General features: G+C 42.4%; 1 annotated feature.

Moving 5' to 3' along the window:
- Positions 9,614-10,114: an enhancer, noted in NCBI's record as "H3K4me1 hESC enhancer chr20:23918707-23919207 (GRCh37/hg19 assembly coordinates)". NCBI's record gives its function as "activates a minimal SCP1, AML or CMV promoter by ChIP-STARR-seq in primed H9 embryonic stem cells {active_cell/tissue: H9 hESC(primed)}" and the evidence as "EXISTENCE:reporter gene assay evidence [ECO:0000049][PMID:30033119]".

Below are 17,825 nucleotides of genomic sequence, written 5' to 3' on the forward strand. Positions count from 1 at the left end.
GAAGGAAAGGGCTGCCCTCCAGCCGCCCCATGGCAGTTGCAGACACCAGCAGAAACCACAGTCTATGGGGGAGGGGATTTTCCCCCTCTCTACCCCACATGGGGTGGACTGTGGGTCTTTGCTGGGAGAGCTGTTCAGAGCATCCTGTATGCATTACCTGCTGCTGCATCAGCAGCCACCCTGAATTTTCCTAGCTGAAAGTCACGTAATGTATGGATTCTCACGACTCTGGAGCTGTCCTCGGCTCTTGCGCTGGTCTTGCTGGGTTCACTCGCGGGCTGCATTCAGGTGAGGTAGGCTGGGAATGTGCTCAGCAGGCACAGTGGGCATCTCTTTCCAGGTGGTCTTTTAGCCTTAAGAAGGTTAGAGGATGCTTTCACATGAAGACGAGTTCCAAGATCTTATTTCAGGAGCTCAGCGCCTAGGTGTGGCCCGGCCCCAGCCATTGCAGACTCCTGCCAGCCGTTGTCTCATTCATCAAAGCAGGTCACGTGGCCAAGCCCAGCCTCAGAGTGGGCGGGGCCTCACAGAGTGAGAGGCGAGGCCCCGTGCATTGTGGTTGTTTCCTGTGTCTACCTCCGCTCCCTGCACAGAATCCAGGAGAGAGATGTGAGCCTGGACCAGTCTGATGTCGAAAATACAGATTTTTATAGATGGCTGTTTGAGGAAAATTTGGCTTCCTGTAATATCTGGATTGAGATGAGGTGTCCAGAGGAAGGCACTGAAGCTCAGGAGTCAGGAGCTGAGTTTACCCCGTCCCTCTCCAGGTTGGCTTAGAAAGTTCTAAATATCTGAGAAATAATCAAACAAAAATAGGGTAGCCAATATGGGAGTCCCCAGTCCTGCTTCTGTTGTTTCTCTCCTGCATCACTTCATCGAAACTAAAGGTGGATTCCAGCTTCTTTAAATATTGTTTTCTTACCTAAAGCAGTAGCCCTTCCTAGGTCCTTCTCATGCCCTTGGCTTCTCTATTTTTCAGCATGTCACTTTCTGGTTAGGGCGTGGTGTATGAAGGAGAGCTGGGCTCTTCTTCCCACATTGCTTTGCTGTTCTGATGTAATGTTTGGGTCCAGCACCTCAGCAGTGAGGAGAGCACACAGGCGATCAGGATCACTTATGTGTATCTGGGAAGAGTTAAATGCTGTCTTGTGTCTCCCAGATATGGGCACCAGTCAGGAATTGCTAAAAGGAAACAATTAAACCTCTTGTTTCTAGTCTTTCCAACAATTACTTTATGAGATAGTTTGAATATACACCCCCATCAAATCTCATGCTGAATTCCAGTCCTGTGTTGGAGGTAGAACCTGGTGGGAGGTGTTTGGGTCATAGTTTCTGATCCCTCATGGCTTGGTGTTGTCCTCACAATAGTCAGTGAGTTCTCTAGAGATCTGGTTGTTAAAAGTGTGTAACATCTTCCTCTAGGTCTCTCTCTTGATCCTTCCCTTCGTCCTGTCTATCTAGAAAGAGGGACCAGGAAAGGTCACTCTGAGGATGTGGCATGGGAGCTGGACTCTGCAGGAGGAGAAGCAGCCAGCTGCACCAACCCAAGGGTGGGGTGTTTCTGGTCAAGAACAGCCTGAACTGACCTTGAGGCAGAAATGATCTTAACCTGTGGAAGCTCCTGAATGGAGTGTCAGGGACCGGCAGGCAGGAGAGGTAAGAAGACCGGGTTTGGTGGATGAGCAGATGTCAGTTCCCACCACGAGGAAGAACTCCTATTTTATTCAAAATGCAATGAGAAGCCTTTGAAATGATTTACTGGGACATAGCATAACACCTTATATGTTATTAGAAGGCTGACATGGCCACACAGAGGGAAAAAAGCTTTTAGTCAGTGAGAATGGGAGGGTGGGGGACAGTCAGGAGGACATTGTAGTCATCCAGGAAAGGGAGGAGAGTGACCTGGGCCAGTGCAGTGGCCAAGAGGTGGAGCACAGGAGACTCAGGATGCCTGTGAGAGGTGGCATGGCAGGACTTGCTGAGGGCTGGGGTGAGGGTGCAGAAGGAAGGAAAAAAACAGAACTCTAGCCCAGGCCTCATGACGGGGCAGGAAAATTACTAAGCTTGAGGAGATATGAGGATGAGCAGATTGTCTGGGCTTGGGCCTCAGGGAAAATTTGAGAGCGTCCTTAGAGATTGTTGGGACATCATGTGTGTAGAACTGTGGATGTCAAATGCCAGCCCATAGATCTATTACTGAAGTGCCAGGGGCTTAGTCTAGGATTCATTGCTTGCAGCACAGGAAGCCAAACACTGAGACAACAAGTATTGTCAAGGAAGAAGGCTGTAATCAGGTGCTGCAGCTAAGAAGATGGAAGGTCAGTCTCAAATCCATCTCCTCATATGACTAAAATCAGGGATTTAAATAGCAGGGGAGAAATGTGCTCATATTCAGGAAAACAGGATTAGGGAAGTGTAAGGAATAGGAAATTGTAAGCAGGAATCATGATGGGTGAAGGTCCTGGCATCTCATTGTCCAGATGCTGTGATCTGGTGAGTGTCAGTTCCCTGATGCTATCTGGGAGCCCTGAAGTCTGATTTCCTGAGCAAGGAACTCAGAGAAGGCACATGTGAGTTTCTCAAGTTTTAAGACTGAAAGGGTCAATATCTGTGTTTATTCAAAAGAAACCATAAATATCAGTTCTATGGGCCAGTTGGGCCAGTTTCAACCCCCTTTCTATGTATCGATTTCCAAATCATGGGGAATCTGTTCATTGATCTTTCTGACTGCCTCATGCTGAAGACAAGGGTTGTGGGATAGGGGCTAAGAGCCAGCCCATTTCTGGGGGCTATTGTATGCTCAGCAGTGCAAAGAGCAAGACCTATTTCCAGGTAAGATTTGTCTCTTGGCAACTGGGGTCCCCTTGGCCACAAGTGAGTTTGCTAAGTTGGTGGGGGGTCTTAGAACTTTATTTTGTCCCATACTATTGCTGGAGTGGTATACTACACTTCCTGCCATGGTTCATCCTGTTCCTCAGTGGAAAGCCTATGGCCAAGGGACTTACAGTCAAGAGACTTCCAGCCAATTAAATGTTCTAGGCCAGACAGCAATGGAGCTGGGCAGCTTCTCATAACCCCTCAAACACCCTTTAAGTAACTTAAGAGCTAAAAACTAAAAGCCTAAAAGTAGGGTTGCAGAATTTCTTGTGACTCAAAAGGAATTGCCTTTGCCATTCAAGGGGCCTCACCCTGACCTGGGAGGCCCAGCCCCCCAGGCTCCCAAGCTGAGTTGTGTCTTCAGCATTGGCCAAGAGTAGTGAGTTCTTTTAAAGGTCTATGTAAGGACACACACAGCCACCAAAAAATAACATACGTAACTAAACGTATCCTTCAGAATCAGCCCTTACAATCTCACATGCTCAGCTCTTCCACGACAGTGCCTGGGCCTAGAAGGACTGAATTGTTCTAATTTCTGGCTCTGTGTCTCATGAAAGCAGTTCATTTTGATTGCCACCTTCTCCTGACTCTGAGGATGAGGCTTTGACTAGTGTCAGTGTTCAACATTTAGCAAGAGTTGATGCCTTTTTCAGACCTAGGAGTCAAAGCCCTATAACTTAACAGTACAAGGATTAGTTAATAGGACATTTATCAAAGATGCTAAAAGGCTCAAGACAGTTGATCAAAACAGAATCATAGGTCATTGTAAAATAATAGTTATTCATTTAACCAAAGTGATCACCAAAAGACTTTAAAAGCAATGTAGAAATAAAATTAGAGTAAAGGGGCACTCTACCCATAATATACAGATAGATGACTTTTGCTGTAAAAATAAGTTTCTGTCTACAACACAAAAGATCAAGTATACTATATACATTGTGATAAAAACAGAAGCCAAAGCTTAATGAAATGTTTATAGACAAAAAAAAGAATATTTAGAAATGTGTGCTTCCATTTACTAATACTGCAGAAAGTTCCATCATTCTCTCCAATATGTCATAAATTAAAACACTGTGATTTTGTGTCTAGTGGTTACTGTCTGCAGCACTTCAAACCACCGTGTTAAAGTGGTTAGGTTACTTCTTGCCTCTGTCTAATTGCTAACATTGTCATGGCTGAATTATGACCAAAAGCATAAAAAATGTGATAGGCCCTATGCCAAACGTATCCAAGTGAGACAATTCAGTTTCTTCTGCATCATTAAAAATGGTAATAAACACAAATATCAGTTTTGGAGATATAGGATGAGGATAAATAATCTCCTTTCACTTAAATATTGAACGACAAAACAGAAACAAAGCAACAACAAGCACATGATAATTTATTTTCAGCTATTTTAAAAGGGCATCATCACACACTTTCAAAATTGGTTTCTAGATAGAGTACTGACAGCTGATTAGGTAACTTTCACCATTAGAAGTCTTGTACATATTTTGTTTTCAAGCACACACAAGAAGGCCCAACAGTGATCAAAGGCATGGGATCCAAAATCACTAGAAAGTGTAACTTCTTAAAAATTACTGCTTAACCAGTGAATGTCACTTAGTTTTAATAACGGTAAACACAACGGAAGTAGTTTGAGGGAAATCCCAGTCAATGTAACTTCCTCCAGGACATGGCCAATCTTTCTGAACATAAAACTTTGTACCCATGTCACAGTTTCTCCTCATTACCTAAAGGGAAAGATCTGAAACCAACTCAAATTATCGATTGAATTATCTTGGAAATGAACACCATTTAAACATTTTTACTCTCACCTACTTTTCCAAATAACAAAATAAATAATTATTTCTGTTCAGAACTTATAAAAATGAGTTTATTTTTGGCCAGAAACCTCAAAGCTCTTATAGCTCTCTAGGTTATCAGAGGTAGGCAAAACCGATTCAGTTTTAAGTGGCTGGTGTGCTCTGTCATTGTTGGACTCTTCACAAAGGTAGTTTAGGAATTGTAGATAAGTAGAGCAAATTATGAATTTTTGGAAATGCATAGGGAATAAAACAACTATAAATAGAACCCAATACAAGCTTTCCATAAGAAACTCAAAAACATCAATGGCTTTATATCTGCAAATAAATGAAAATTAAATGTGAAAACATCCCAGGTGTGGTGGCTCACACCTGTAATCCCAGCACTTGGGAGGCTGAGGCAGGAGGATGGCTTGAGGCCAGGAATTTGAGACCAGCCTGGGCAACCTAGCAAGATCCTGTCTCTACAAAAATTAAAAAAAGTAAATAAAAGTAAAAAAAACAAAAAAGGTAAACCAACCCTAAATTTATCTCCTATTCAGTTTACCTTAGAAGCCACAGGTTATCCAGATCCTACAATAACAAATGATGGATATTTTTTTCCAGATGTACAAATTAATGTACTTTAGTCCAGCAACACCACTGAATTCAGACATTTACTTGACGCACATGGCCAGTATTGTAGTGCTAGTACTATCTATGCAGAATAGCAAAGGCAGTGTGAAATAAAGCAATGCAAGCATTTATGTAAAATTTGGCTCCATGCTAAATCTGGCTTCATGTTTAACTAAATTTAAGAGAGAATTGTCCAACTACCAATGTATCTCTTTACAATATTTCTTATTTTACCTTCATCAACAGTAAGAGCTTTAACTATGAACAATGCTAGTTAGCTAAATTTCTCCAATTTTTATCAGGTTTTAAGTAATATTTTACTATCTAAACTTTTCAACTTTCCATTTTCTCTTATGTCCATGAAGACAGACACACAGAGACACAGGAAGAAATTACACATGACTTAACTTTTGAATTAGACAAAATTACTCTTTTTTTCAGTAAGGCTTTGGCACATTTTATATGCAAAATTATATATTAACTACAATTCTTATTCTTACTAACCTTAAATCTTAGTGAAAACCTAGGAAGCAAGAAATCCTAAACTGCCTTTCAGATATTGGCATTTTATAGATAACAGCCATTTCACAATTTTTAAAAACATGTTTCCCCATATCATAAACCTTTCTTAATTGGAAATGACCAGACATCCAAGGAGCTTCTGTTACTTAACCCAAAATCACTTTAACATTTTAAACTACACAAAAAGTTCACCTACAAGCATTTATCTCATTTATATGTACTCAGTTTTTTCATTTTTAAAAAGGTTATCTAGACTCCTTCTGAAAACTGAGACATTAAACAAAGCTAGTCATCATTTCAACTTATTTCCTTGTCAACCACTTTTTTTTTTTTTTAGACGGAGTCTTGCTCTGTTGCCCAGGCTGGAGTGCAGTGGCACAATCTTGGCTCACTGCAAGCTCCACCTCCTGGATTCAAGCGATTCTCCTGCCTCAGCCTCCCGAGTAGATGGAACTAGACGTGCGTGCCACCACGCCTGGCTAATTTTTTGTATTTTTAGTAGATATGGAGTTTCACCGTGTTAGCCAGGATGATCTGGATTTCCTGAGCTTGTGAACTGCCCACATTGGCCTCCCAAAGTGCTGGGATTACAGGCGTGAGCCACCGTGTCCGGCCGTCAACCACTTTTTTTTTTGTTCTTGAGACAGAGTCTCACTCTGTTGCCCAGCCTGGAGTGCAGTGGCGCGATCTCGGCTCACTGCAACCTCTGCCTCCTGGGTTCAAGCTATTCTCCTGCCTCAGCCTCCCGAGTAGCTGGGACTACAGGTGCCCACCACCACACCTGGCTAATTTTTGTATTTTTAGTAGAGACGGGGTTTCACCATGCTGGCCAGGCTGGTCTCGAACTCTTTACCTTGTGATCCACCTACCTCAGCCTCCCAAAGTGCTGGGATTACAGGTGTGAGCCACAGTGCCCAACCCGACCACTTTTTATATAGTTTGTGAATATCTGGTATCCACCTAAGAACCTTAAAGTTTAACATATGGATATTTTCACCAATAACTCAGAAGATCCAGCTGTCTTTATTAAACCAACACTAAATTAGTCTTCTTCATCAAAAAAATCACATGAACAAGGATCATTTTGTTTTTGCTGGGTTCATAGTTTTATAACTTTGTGTGCCAAACCCTGACACCTCAAAATATCTAGTAGAGACAAATGCAAAACCCAGACAAAAATGTATGTTGACCATTCTGAAAACGTATCTGTTTTAATTTTACAAATAATTTTAAAGCCAGGTTGTTTATTAAAGATCTACCTAAGTTATATGAACTTAAAAATTATATAGTCTTATTTAATTAATTTATGAGTGCTCTTTTATTCATAAGCAAATTTAGCAGATATAATATATAACATTAAAAAGGTACATAGACACAAACACATCTAATCATGTACACACAAAAACACACACAAGATCCAATAGGTTTTACCTCAGTAATCTAGCCATGAAGTAGTAATACAAACTCACTGGTTTATAACACTGTTCTGTTCACATGTCTAAAGCTTTTTTACCCCATAGGTAATCCAACGAAGGCTCAGAATCAAAATTTAGGGTAAACTCATTTCCACGGCAGTTTGATTTTTTAAAGACCAAACTTCTCCGGACTGTAAAGAATACTGGGCCAAGCAACACCCCGGAAGAACATCATATACTAAGCAGGCCCAAAAAACAGCAACATAAAGCCTGATTACACACAACTCCATCCCACATTCCCATTCAACAGCAAACTCCAGATTCCCAACAGTATTACAAAAGATTATCAGTTTATCAAATTTGGTTTCCCATGATTATATGAACACACACATACGAACAATCACCGAAACACAATTCAATTGTTGCAGTAACAAACAAGCCTCAAGAATGTTTAAACAGAAACAGCCAGACGGTTTTCCTCTTTACGTTGGTTGCGCTTATCCAACCTGCAAATGGAAATTCCCTTAGAATTTCCCAAATTGAGGGATCAGATCCCACTCTCTGGGCCCAAAAAGACACTCACCCATCTGGACACAGATGTCAGATTTCAAAGGCTGTTCTTCCTAGGCAGTCAGAAACCCGATTGGGGCGAGGAGCGGTGGGGCCATATGGAGACTGAAACCCACCTCCAGCCAAAAGTAGATGGGCAGCAGCTTAGGGAATCTTCCAAAAGTCTCCTTCCCCACATAGCCGAGCCATGAGCAACACTTTCCTGGTGAGGAAACCAAAATCTGGTACCAAAATGCAGGGGGTTCCATCTAAGTTCCGTTACTCCTTGCACAGAAAGTCAAACATGGAGACAACCAGCATTGCCAGGGAGAGGGCTTTCATTGGGTGCCACAGCAGAGGAGATGGGAGGCCAGTCTCAAATCATTGTTCTTACCCACTAAAATAAGGGGTTTATATAGTAGAGAAGAAATGTAACTACTTGCAGGAAAACAGGAATTGGGGAGGGTCAAGGAAGAGGAATTGGTGAGCAGAAGTCATGATGGTTGAGGAATCTGGCATCTCATTGTCTGGAATGGTGATCTGGTGAGTTTCCGTTCCTTGATGCTGAAGGTGCGTTTCTTAAGGAACTCAGATAAGACAAATGTAAGTTTCTCAAGTTTTAAGAGGCAGAGGGCCAATTTCTATGTTCATTCAAAAGAAACCATAAATACAAGTTTTATGGGACAATTGGGCTAGTTTCATATCCAGCCTAGGGGTCAGGTTTCACTAGAGTGCAGGGCAGGGCATCCTTCATTTTCACAATGCCTCATTTTGGGTGGCACCAAAATGACTTTCTATTATGGAATAGTGATCGTAGAACTTTTCCTTTGCCAATCATATTTGGAAAATCAAAATATTTGCAATTATTAGTCTCAAATACCACGGACTACAGGAACCTACAGTCTGCAACTTGTGGCATGGAAGGTGTCTGAGAAGAACCCTTGGGCTGTGCCAGAGTTGGCAGGGAAGGGTGAGCCACTGGGCCCTGAGAGATGGAGGGTGTCAGGGGAACTAAGGAGGGAAGAGGCTTGCAGAGTGGGCAACCCCCTCCCACATAATAAAGGAGAGAATGATATGCTGAAATATCAAATGCAAAGATAAAGACAAGAAGAAAATCCTCCAAGGTGGCAGATAAACCACAAAGCTAAAGGGCAATTCCTGCTCCCACAGCCACCTGCCCTGTAAATTCTGCTCAGTTCATGAGTTTGCAGAGAACCTCTGCAAGGTGGAGCGTGCATCCTCCACTTCACCATAGTTACCACCAGAGGGAAGCATTCACCCACGGATGACCAGCCTCTCGGGCACCAGCTACTCCAACCTCATGCTAGAGAGCAGGCTCTGAAGGTAGTCCTGGGGTTGACATAGGGTCTGCCTTGGAGGAACAAGCTTTGCAAACTAAATACTTCCCTAGTGCTGTTCTGGGTTCTGCAGAGTTCCCTCTGCTTGGCTCTATCCTTGCTACTCTAGGCTGCCTGGGCATGCAGGGTTTTATTGATTAGAGCAATTGACAGTGGATGGTACAACCTCCTATTTCTGCAGCTCTCCCCACTGCCCCTGCTAGACCTTCACAAGGCAGGTGACAATGAAAGTGTGGATACCCCTATTGATGGTGACAGTGGCCCATCTAGAGCAGCTACTGTGAGGATGCCAGCTGCAGCAGGAGAGGTGTGGCTGGGGCTGCATGCTCCCCAGAGCTGGTGGGGGCCAGGAACAGGTGGGAGCCCCATGCTCCCAGGCATAGCTGTGGTCACCCAGCTGCAGCTCCAGACCTGGGCATCCCTGTGCTCTCAGGGCCCAGAAAGTCCCCAGCCCTGACAGGTTCAGAAGTGCCTGCTCCTGCTACCTGGCCTGTCCCTGCTCCTGGCACCTGCTCTGCAGCAGAGCAAAGTTGTAGCTGAGCCTGGGAGCGGTCATGACCCAGCTGGGTGTTTGTGCACTTGGGGCAGTGCTGTCAGTGCTGGAGTGGCCAGCCCTCTGCCACTTCAGCCCCCTCTGGACTGTGGGAGCTGACTAGCATGGGAGGGCTGCTGGTGGGGGCTGAGTGCAGCTCAGCATGGGCTTGCAGGCACTGTTCAATATGAACAGCCTGGGCACCATGGACGGCATGTTGATGGTGGGAGGCAGACAGGTTCCTGGACAGAAAGGGGTGGATACCTGGTGAATTCCCACCTTCAAGCCAGGGACAGCCTGAAGCCTTGGAACCAGGGTGTCAGTTCTGGGTGGAAGCCGTGGTCCAGAGTGAAAACTTATGGTACTTTTTTTGCACCTGCCCATGGACCAATCAGCACACACTTCCTTCATTCGGAGCCTATAAAAACCCCAGACTCAGCCAGACTCAGCCAGACATCAGGACTACCAGCTGTGGGAAGGAGCTACCCACTTCAGGTCTCCTCAACTCCTTGGGACAACCTGTTTGTGGAAAGGAGCTATACACCATGGTTCTCCTTTCCACTGAGAGCTGGACACTCCTGGGGCTGACCTGCTTGCAGAAAGGAACTACCCATCTTGGGTCTCCTGAGAGCTGTTCTGTCACTCAATGAAGCGCCTCTCCACCTTGCTCACCCTCCACTTGTACGCATACCCCATTCCTCCTGGACGTGGGACAGGAACTCAGGACCTGCCAAATGGCGAGACTGCAAGAGCTGTAAGGGCTGAAACACCCCCCAACTCACCACACTGTGGTGATGAGGAGAGAAAAGCTGTGGCCATTCTGGGAGCCAGGGCTGTGATATGCTTTAACACCCTGTTTGGGGCTCTGTGGTTCCTGGCATCTCCAAGCTTTCAGGTGCCACCACATTCCCCTTGTCCAGATGCTGGTGCCTGCAGTGGAAGCCACTTGCAGTACGTCTGGTCCAGCCAAAGCCCCACACAGAGCCAGTGCCTATGCCAGCAACTGGAGCTGCCTGCCCCACTGCAGTCAACATGTCTGGCTCTGCACAGTGGCCTGACCCAATGCTCATTTGCTTACACACCCCTGACCACTCTGCACCTGGCTCACCCTTGGCAGGTGTGGAATCTGGGCCACAGTGTGAGCTGAGCACAGCCTGACAGACCAAGTGGGTGGAATGAGCCCAGTGGGTGCAAGCAAAACCTGAGTAGAGGTGTCACGAGGCACAGAAGTTTCCAGTTGGCAAAGTGACACTGTAAATATCCTGTGACACTATAGCCAAGCCTGGTTTCTGTCCTCTCTTCCACTCTTTCTCCTCTCACCCCTTTTTTGGCATTCTTTCTCTTCCTTCCCTCCCTCTTTTCTGAAGCTACCCATCTCCTTCTTGTTCATGGTAATATCTAGGGGTCAGAGGCATGAATTCCAGGGGAAAAAATCTGCTTTTATTCCTCTGATTAACAAAATACATGATCCCATAAACAAAATTAACAACGAAATCATGATCATATCATAGAGGCAGAAAAAGCATTTGATAAAAGTTCAGCATCACTCATGACAAAAAAACTGTTAACAAACTAGACATAGAAAGAACATCCCTCAACATAATAAAGGCCATAAATGACAAACTCATAGTCAACATCATATTTAATGGGGGAAAGTTGAATTCATTCACTCTACCAACTGGAACAAGTCAAGAAAGGCATCCTAATGGGAAAAGAGGAAGTGAAATTACCCTTGTTCACTGATGATATGTTCTTATATCTAGAAAACCCTAAATACTTCACCAAAAATCTCTTAGATTTGTTAAATTTGGTAAAAAGTTTCAAGATACAAAATTAATGTACAGAAATCATTGGAGTTTCTACACACCAATAGCAATGTAGCTGAGAACCAAGTCAAGAAGCAATCCCATTTATAGTCGCTATCAAAAACTAATGAAATACCTAGGAATATATTTAAGCAGAACTACAAATGAGAACTACAAAATACTGAGGAAAGAAATCATAGATAGCACAAAGAAATTGAAAACCATTATATGCTAATTGATTGGAATAATCATTATAGTTAGAATGACCTCAGTGCCCAGAGCAATCTACAGATTCAATGCAATTCCTATCAAATCAGCAGTATTATTTTCCACAAAATTAGAAGAAAACAATTCTAAAATTTACATGGAACCAAAAAAGAACTCGAATAGCCAGAGCAAGTCTAAGCAAAAGAGCAAAGCTGGAGATACCACATCACCTCATTTCAAATTATACTACAATGCTACAGTAATCAAAACAGCATGGTACTGGTATAAAAATAGACATATGAATCAGTGAAACAGAGTAGAGAATGTAGAAATGAAGCCACATACCTACAACCAACTTATCTTAGACAAAGTCAGTAAAAATGTACACTGGGGAAATGACACCCTCTTCAATAAATGGCACTGGGAAAATTGGACAGCCATATGCAGAAGAATGAAACTAGACCCAAGCCTCTCACCATATACAAAAATTAGCTTAACATGGGTTAAAGACATCAACATAAGAGACAAAACTATTAAAAAATCCTACAAGAAAACTTAGGAACATCTTTTGGACATTGGACTAGGAAAAGAATTTATGAGCAAGTCCTCAAAAGGACATAACAAAAACAAAAATAGGCAAATGAAACTTAATAAAACTAAAGAGCTTCTGCACAGCAAAAGAAATAATCAATGGTCCTGACATAGTGGACTCCACCTATAATACCATCAGTTTGTGAGGCTGAGTTTGAAGTATTTCTTGAGGCCATAAGTTCGAAACCAGCCTGGATAATATAGTGAGACCTCATCTCTAAAAAAAAATGAGAAATTAGCCAGGCCTGGTGGCTAGCACCTGTAGTCCTAGCTACTCTGGAGGCTGAAGCAGGAGGCTCACTTGAGTCCAGAAGTTAGAGGCTGCAGTTAGCTATGATCACATCACTGCACTATAGCCTGGAAAACTAAGAAAGACCCTGTCTCAAAAAAAAAAAAGAAAGAAAGAAAAAAAAGAAACAAACAACAATAACAACTATTACTACAGCAAAATCAATAGAGTAAATGGACAACCTAAGATTGGGGAAAAAATATTTGCAAACTATGCATCTGACAATGGGCTAATATCCAGCATCTACAAGGACTCTGTCTCAAAATAAAAAAAAAAGCCATACAAACATACAAACAGCCAACAAAATATGAAAAAATACTCAACATCAGTAATCATCAGAGCAATGCAAATTAAAACCACAATGGGATACCATCTTACACTAGTCAGAATGGCTACTATTAAAAAGTCTAAAAACAACAGATATTGGCAAGGATGTAAAGATAACACTTATGCACTGCTGATGGAAATATAAATTAGTACGACTCCTATGAAGAACAGTATGGAGACTTCTTAAAGAATTGAAAATAGAACTACCCTTTTATTCAGGAATCTCACTTCTGGGTATCTACCCAAAGGAAAAGAAATTATTATATAAAAAAGGCACCTGCACTTGTATTTTTATCACAACACTATTAATAGTAGCAAAGATATGGAATCAACCTAAGTGTCCATTAATAAAGAATAGGATAAAGAAAGTGTGAGATATACATACATACATATGTATATTATCTCTCTCTCTATCCATCTATAATGAAACAACACTCAGCCATTAAAAAGATATACCTAATCCTAAATGACGAGTTAATGGGTGCAGCACACCAACATGGCACATGTATACCTAAGTAACAAAACCTGCACGTTGTGCACATGTACCCTAAAACTTAAAGTATAATAATAATAAAATAAAATAAAATAAAATCATGTATTTTATAGCAATATGGTGGAAATCAAAGGCCATAATCTAAAGTAACTCAGAAAAATAAAGTCAAATACTGCATGTTTTCATTTATAGATAGGGGCTAAACCATGAGTACATATGGACATACATAATGGAATAATGGACATTGGAGATTACAAAAGGTGGGAGGTTGGCAGGGGTTGAGGGTTGAAAAATAGCCCATTAGGTACAATGTTCATCATGTGGGTGCTTGGTTCATTAAAAGCCCGACTTTACCACCACACAATGTATGCATGTAAGAAACCTTCACTTGTACATGCTAAACATATAACAATAAAACATAACTTTTAAAAAAGAGTATGTGGTCCATTTGTAACAGACACACTTTCCCATCCAATGTAAGGTGTCTGAAGAGAAGATTCACCTGAGTCTTGATCTGATGAATCTGCAAACAGAGGAATCCCCCCTGACTTCCACCTGCTCAGACCTGGTGCTTACACTCTGCTCCAAAGAGCTTGATATTTTCTCATTAACATCATATTATTACCATCACTGCCATCACTTTCACCATTATCATTTTTGTCAGCACCACCACCACTACCATAACCATTCTGATCATTATCACCATCATTCTACCAATGCTAACATCATCACCATCACCATCATCATCATCACTACCACCACCAGCATCTCCATTATCAACACTGCCGCCATCAGCATCACCTCCACTACTATCATCACAATTACCACCATCGCAATCACAAACACCATCATCATCACCACAAATAACATAAACACCATCACCATCAGTACCATCAACACCATCAGCATCACAACCATCCTCACCACCATCACCACTATCATCACTACCATCACCCCCATGATTACCATTATTATTGCCAGTCACCACTACCATCACCAACACCACCAGCACCATCATTATTCTCACCGTCACCATTATCACAAGCGTTCTCACCATGACCATCATCACCATCACCACCATCACTGATATAGTTTGGATGTTTATCCCCTCCAAATACCATGTTGAAATATAATTCCCAATGTTGGTAGTGGGACCTAGTGGAAGGTGATTGGATCATGGAGGCAGATCCCTCACGAATGGCTTAGCACCACCCCATGGTAATGAGTGCATTCTCGTTTTGAGTTCCTGAGTGATCTGGGTGTTTAAAAGAGTGTGGCACTTCCTTCTCTCTCTGTCTTGCTCTCTCTGTTATTATATGACATGCCTGCTCCCATTTCACCTTCCATCACACATGACTGTAAATTTCCTTAGGCCCTCACCAGAAATAGATGCTGGAGACATACTGGTATAGCCTATACAATTTTGAGCCAATTAAACCCTTTTTCTGTATAAATGACACAGCCTCAGGTATTTATGGCAACACAAGAATGGCCTTATATAGTCATTACCATTACTATTGCCACCACCATCACCATTATCATTAGCACTATCATCACCGTTACCATCACCACCATTACCACCATCATCACCACCACATTATCATGATCACCTTCACCAGCATACTATCATTATTATCATCTTCACCACTATCACCATCACCATCACCATCTCCATCTCCACTGTATCCACTGTATCTCCATCATCATCACTGTATTTCCACTGTATCCACTGTATCGTCGTCACAATCATCACATCATCTTCACCACAATTACCAGGTGCCTCTCAGCAGTTAGTCTGCGTTAGACATTGTGCCACACTGTTTATAAACCTCATGTGGTTACATCGTTACCCTGAGTGTATACATTTATAGAAAAATATAAGGTGGTAATTGGGTTTGTAACATGATGTAAGAGTGTGTGAACCTGCTTTCTATTCTCAGAATTATCTGCAATCAATAAAAGAGAAGACTCACTTCATTTCTCAGCTCCCACATTGCTGGACATAGGTCTGATCTAGACATCCACAGTGACATCTTCACTGGTCCACTGGGCTCCACCCTCAGATTCTGTTTCCTTGGTTCTAAAATGTTCAGAAAGCTGCATCCCCTGCCACATGAAACACAGGCATCTTGCCCTCTGTGGCCGCCCTCTTGCTTTTGCACATAATGTGGCTTGGCTTCAAAAGAAACTGGACTTCTTGATATTCTGCACATGTATACCTGTCCAGGCTCACATAAATTTGTCTTTATGAAAGGACACCTATTCTTTATACAAAGTCACCTGTACCTGCCCACTCCTCCCTAGATCTTTGCCTGCCCAAATTCTACCTGTTCCTCAAGTTCATGTCCACATAAACGTTATCTATGGATTCTTCTCTGGTCAATGTAGCCAGGTGTGAACCTTTTGAGTTTGATCTCCTATAGAACTTTTATGTTCACTAGAGGCTTTTACCATCCTCCTCTTAGAGTCTTTCTTCTTGTGTATGTATTTCTGTCCCTCACCAGGCCATGAGGTCTTGGAGGATAGCAACTAAGTCTCCTTCTCCATGTGATTTGCCTCTCAGAGATCACTGAGATAATTACAAACAAAAACAAGCTAATGATAATGATATTATTCTCACAATAATATAAAATATATAATAATGTATATAATTATACAGTTATATATAACAATAATCATCATTTCACAATAACTACTTAGTAGTTACAATTAGTGTCTCCATTTTACTGATAAGTAAGCTGAGTCACAGAGAGGTTAAGGACATATTTGAAATTTACACAGTGTGTAAATGGATAACCAGGATTTTAACCCATATAATCTGGTTTCATGCTCTCGCCATGAGGTTAGATGTTCCAGCAGTCTGCTGCACTCAAAATCTTTGACATTTGAGAGACTTTATGGTAGGACACAGTTAAGATGTTTTTGAGATCAGTGGATGGGGCCCTTTTAACTCCTAGGTCATTGCCCCTTCATGTGGAACTCACACCAAATCACAGCCATGTGTCTTGGCCCAGACTCTCCTCCTTTTTGGAATTCCCTTCCCCTGTGTCATTTCATTGATTCCTCTTCATCTTTCGTGATTGCCCAGGTATTATATTTTCCATAAAGGTGACTGTCTAGATTGACCTACCCAGAAGCAGAAACAAATATGCAATTGCAAGTGTTTTATTTGGTGGGTAGTCCCAGGAAAGTCTACTGAAGCAGTGAGGAAATGAGACAAGGAAGAGAAGTGGTCAATACAGCAAGTGCGAGTTGCCAGGCTACCGCTACGGGCATGTGGGACTCATTTCCACTGGGAACCCCTGGGAGATTGCCTGGAACATATCTGCTGGTGTCATTCTGTGGGTGAAGAATGTGCAGGGCCATTAGTTCTCTTGCACTTACTTGTGCCACATGCACAGGAAAATCAGTGCAGATGCTGGCAATTGGAATGTGGGCTGGTAAGTGCTGAGATAGTGAGGACCAACCAAGGGATGTGAGCATCTTGTCCTCCTCCAGCCCTCTATGTGGGTTTGGTGCCCTTCTCTGTGCTCTCCAGTGCCATATTCTCTCCTTTGATTTCTACTTGTCTGTCTACCACCCAAAATTCTATATTGAACATCCATCAAGGCTGGAGGACTTGGCTCTTTTGCTTTCTTTTCTCCAGCACCCAATTTTATTTCTAGCATAAAATGTATACTCAACAAAGACAGTAGGAGTGATGAAATTAGGCTCATTTTATGAAAAGTCTGAAAAACTTTCACAAATCTTTATTCAGAAACATTAATTTACAGAGAAATTCTCTTGAATAATTAAAAGAAAAATATTTTATAAAAGTTGCAGAAACAAAAAGGAAATTGCTTTGTGTAATTTGGAAAATTACCCCCAAATTTAAAATGTGTAAAAAGGAAATGAGACAGAAGGAAAATATAATCATTAGCCTGGAGGCCCAGAAGTAAAATAAGGTAGAAATGAAAATGAATCACAGGTGCTACGAAGCTCATTCTCTTCCACTGAACAAGGAATCAGATAAGAGAGGCAACCAGTAGCCACGTGTTGGCACCCAGGCAGTTCCAAATGGGTTCAGGGCAACTTCATCCTTTTGGCATCTTAGTGAATTTGGTAGCTGAATGAATGAAACATGTGAATGATCACCCAGGTACTCTGTCCAGGTGATACCTGACTGCCCAAGATGGGTAAAATGTTTTTCTGTGTACTTTAAGGAATTCTTAAGATCCTGCATTTCATTATACTCCTGTTAGGTGGTTTCAGGATCCCTATGTCCAGGGTGTCCAGGGAAGGGGATAAGGTGAGCAGGGACAAAGTGGGGTCTGAGCTCTGCTTGTGCCTGCCTGGTAGCTGTTAGGTGGGCATTTGTGGTAGGTGGGCATTTGTGGTGGGCGTTAGGGATGTCCCGTGAATATTTCTGTTTCTTATGAGTGCAAGACAGGATTCCCACCC

This window comes from Homo sapiens, chromosome 20 (genome assembly GCF_000001405.40).
Source record: "Homo sapiens chromosome 20, GRCh38.p14 Primary Assembly".
Classification (NCBI taxonomy): domain Eukaryota; kingdom Metazoa; phylum Chordata; class Mammalia; order Primates; family Hominidae; genus Homo; species Homo sapiens.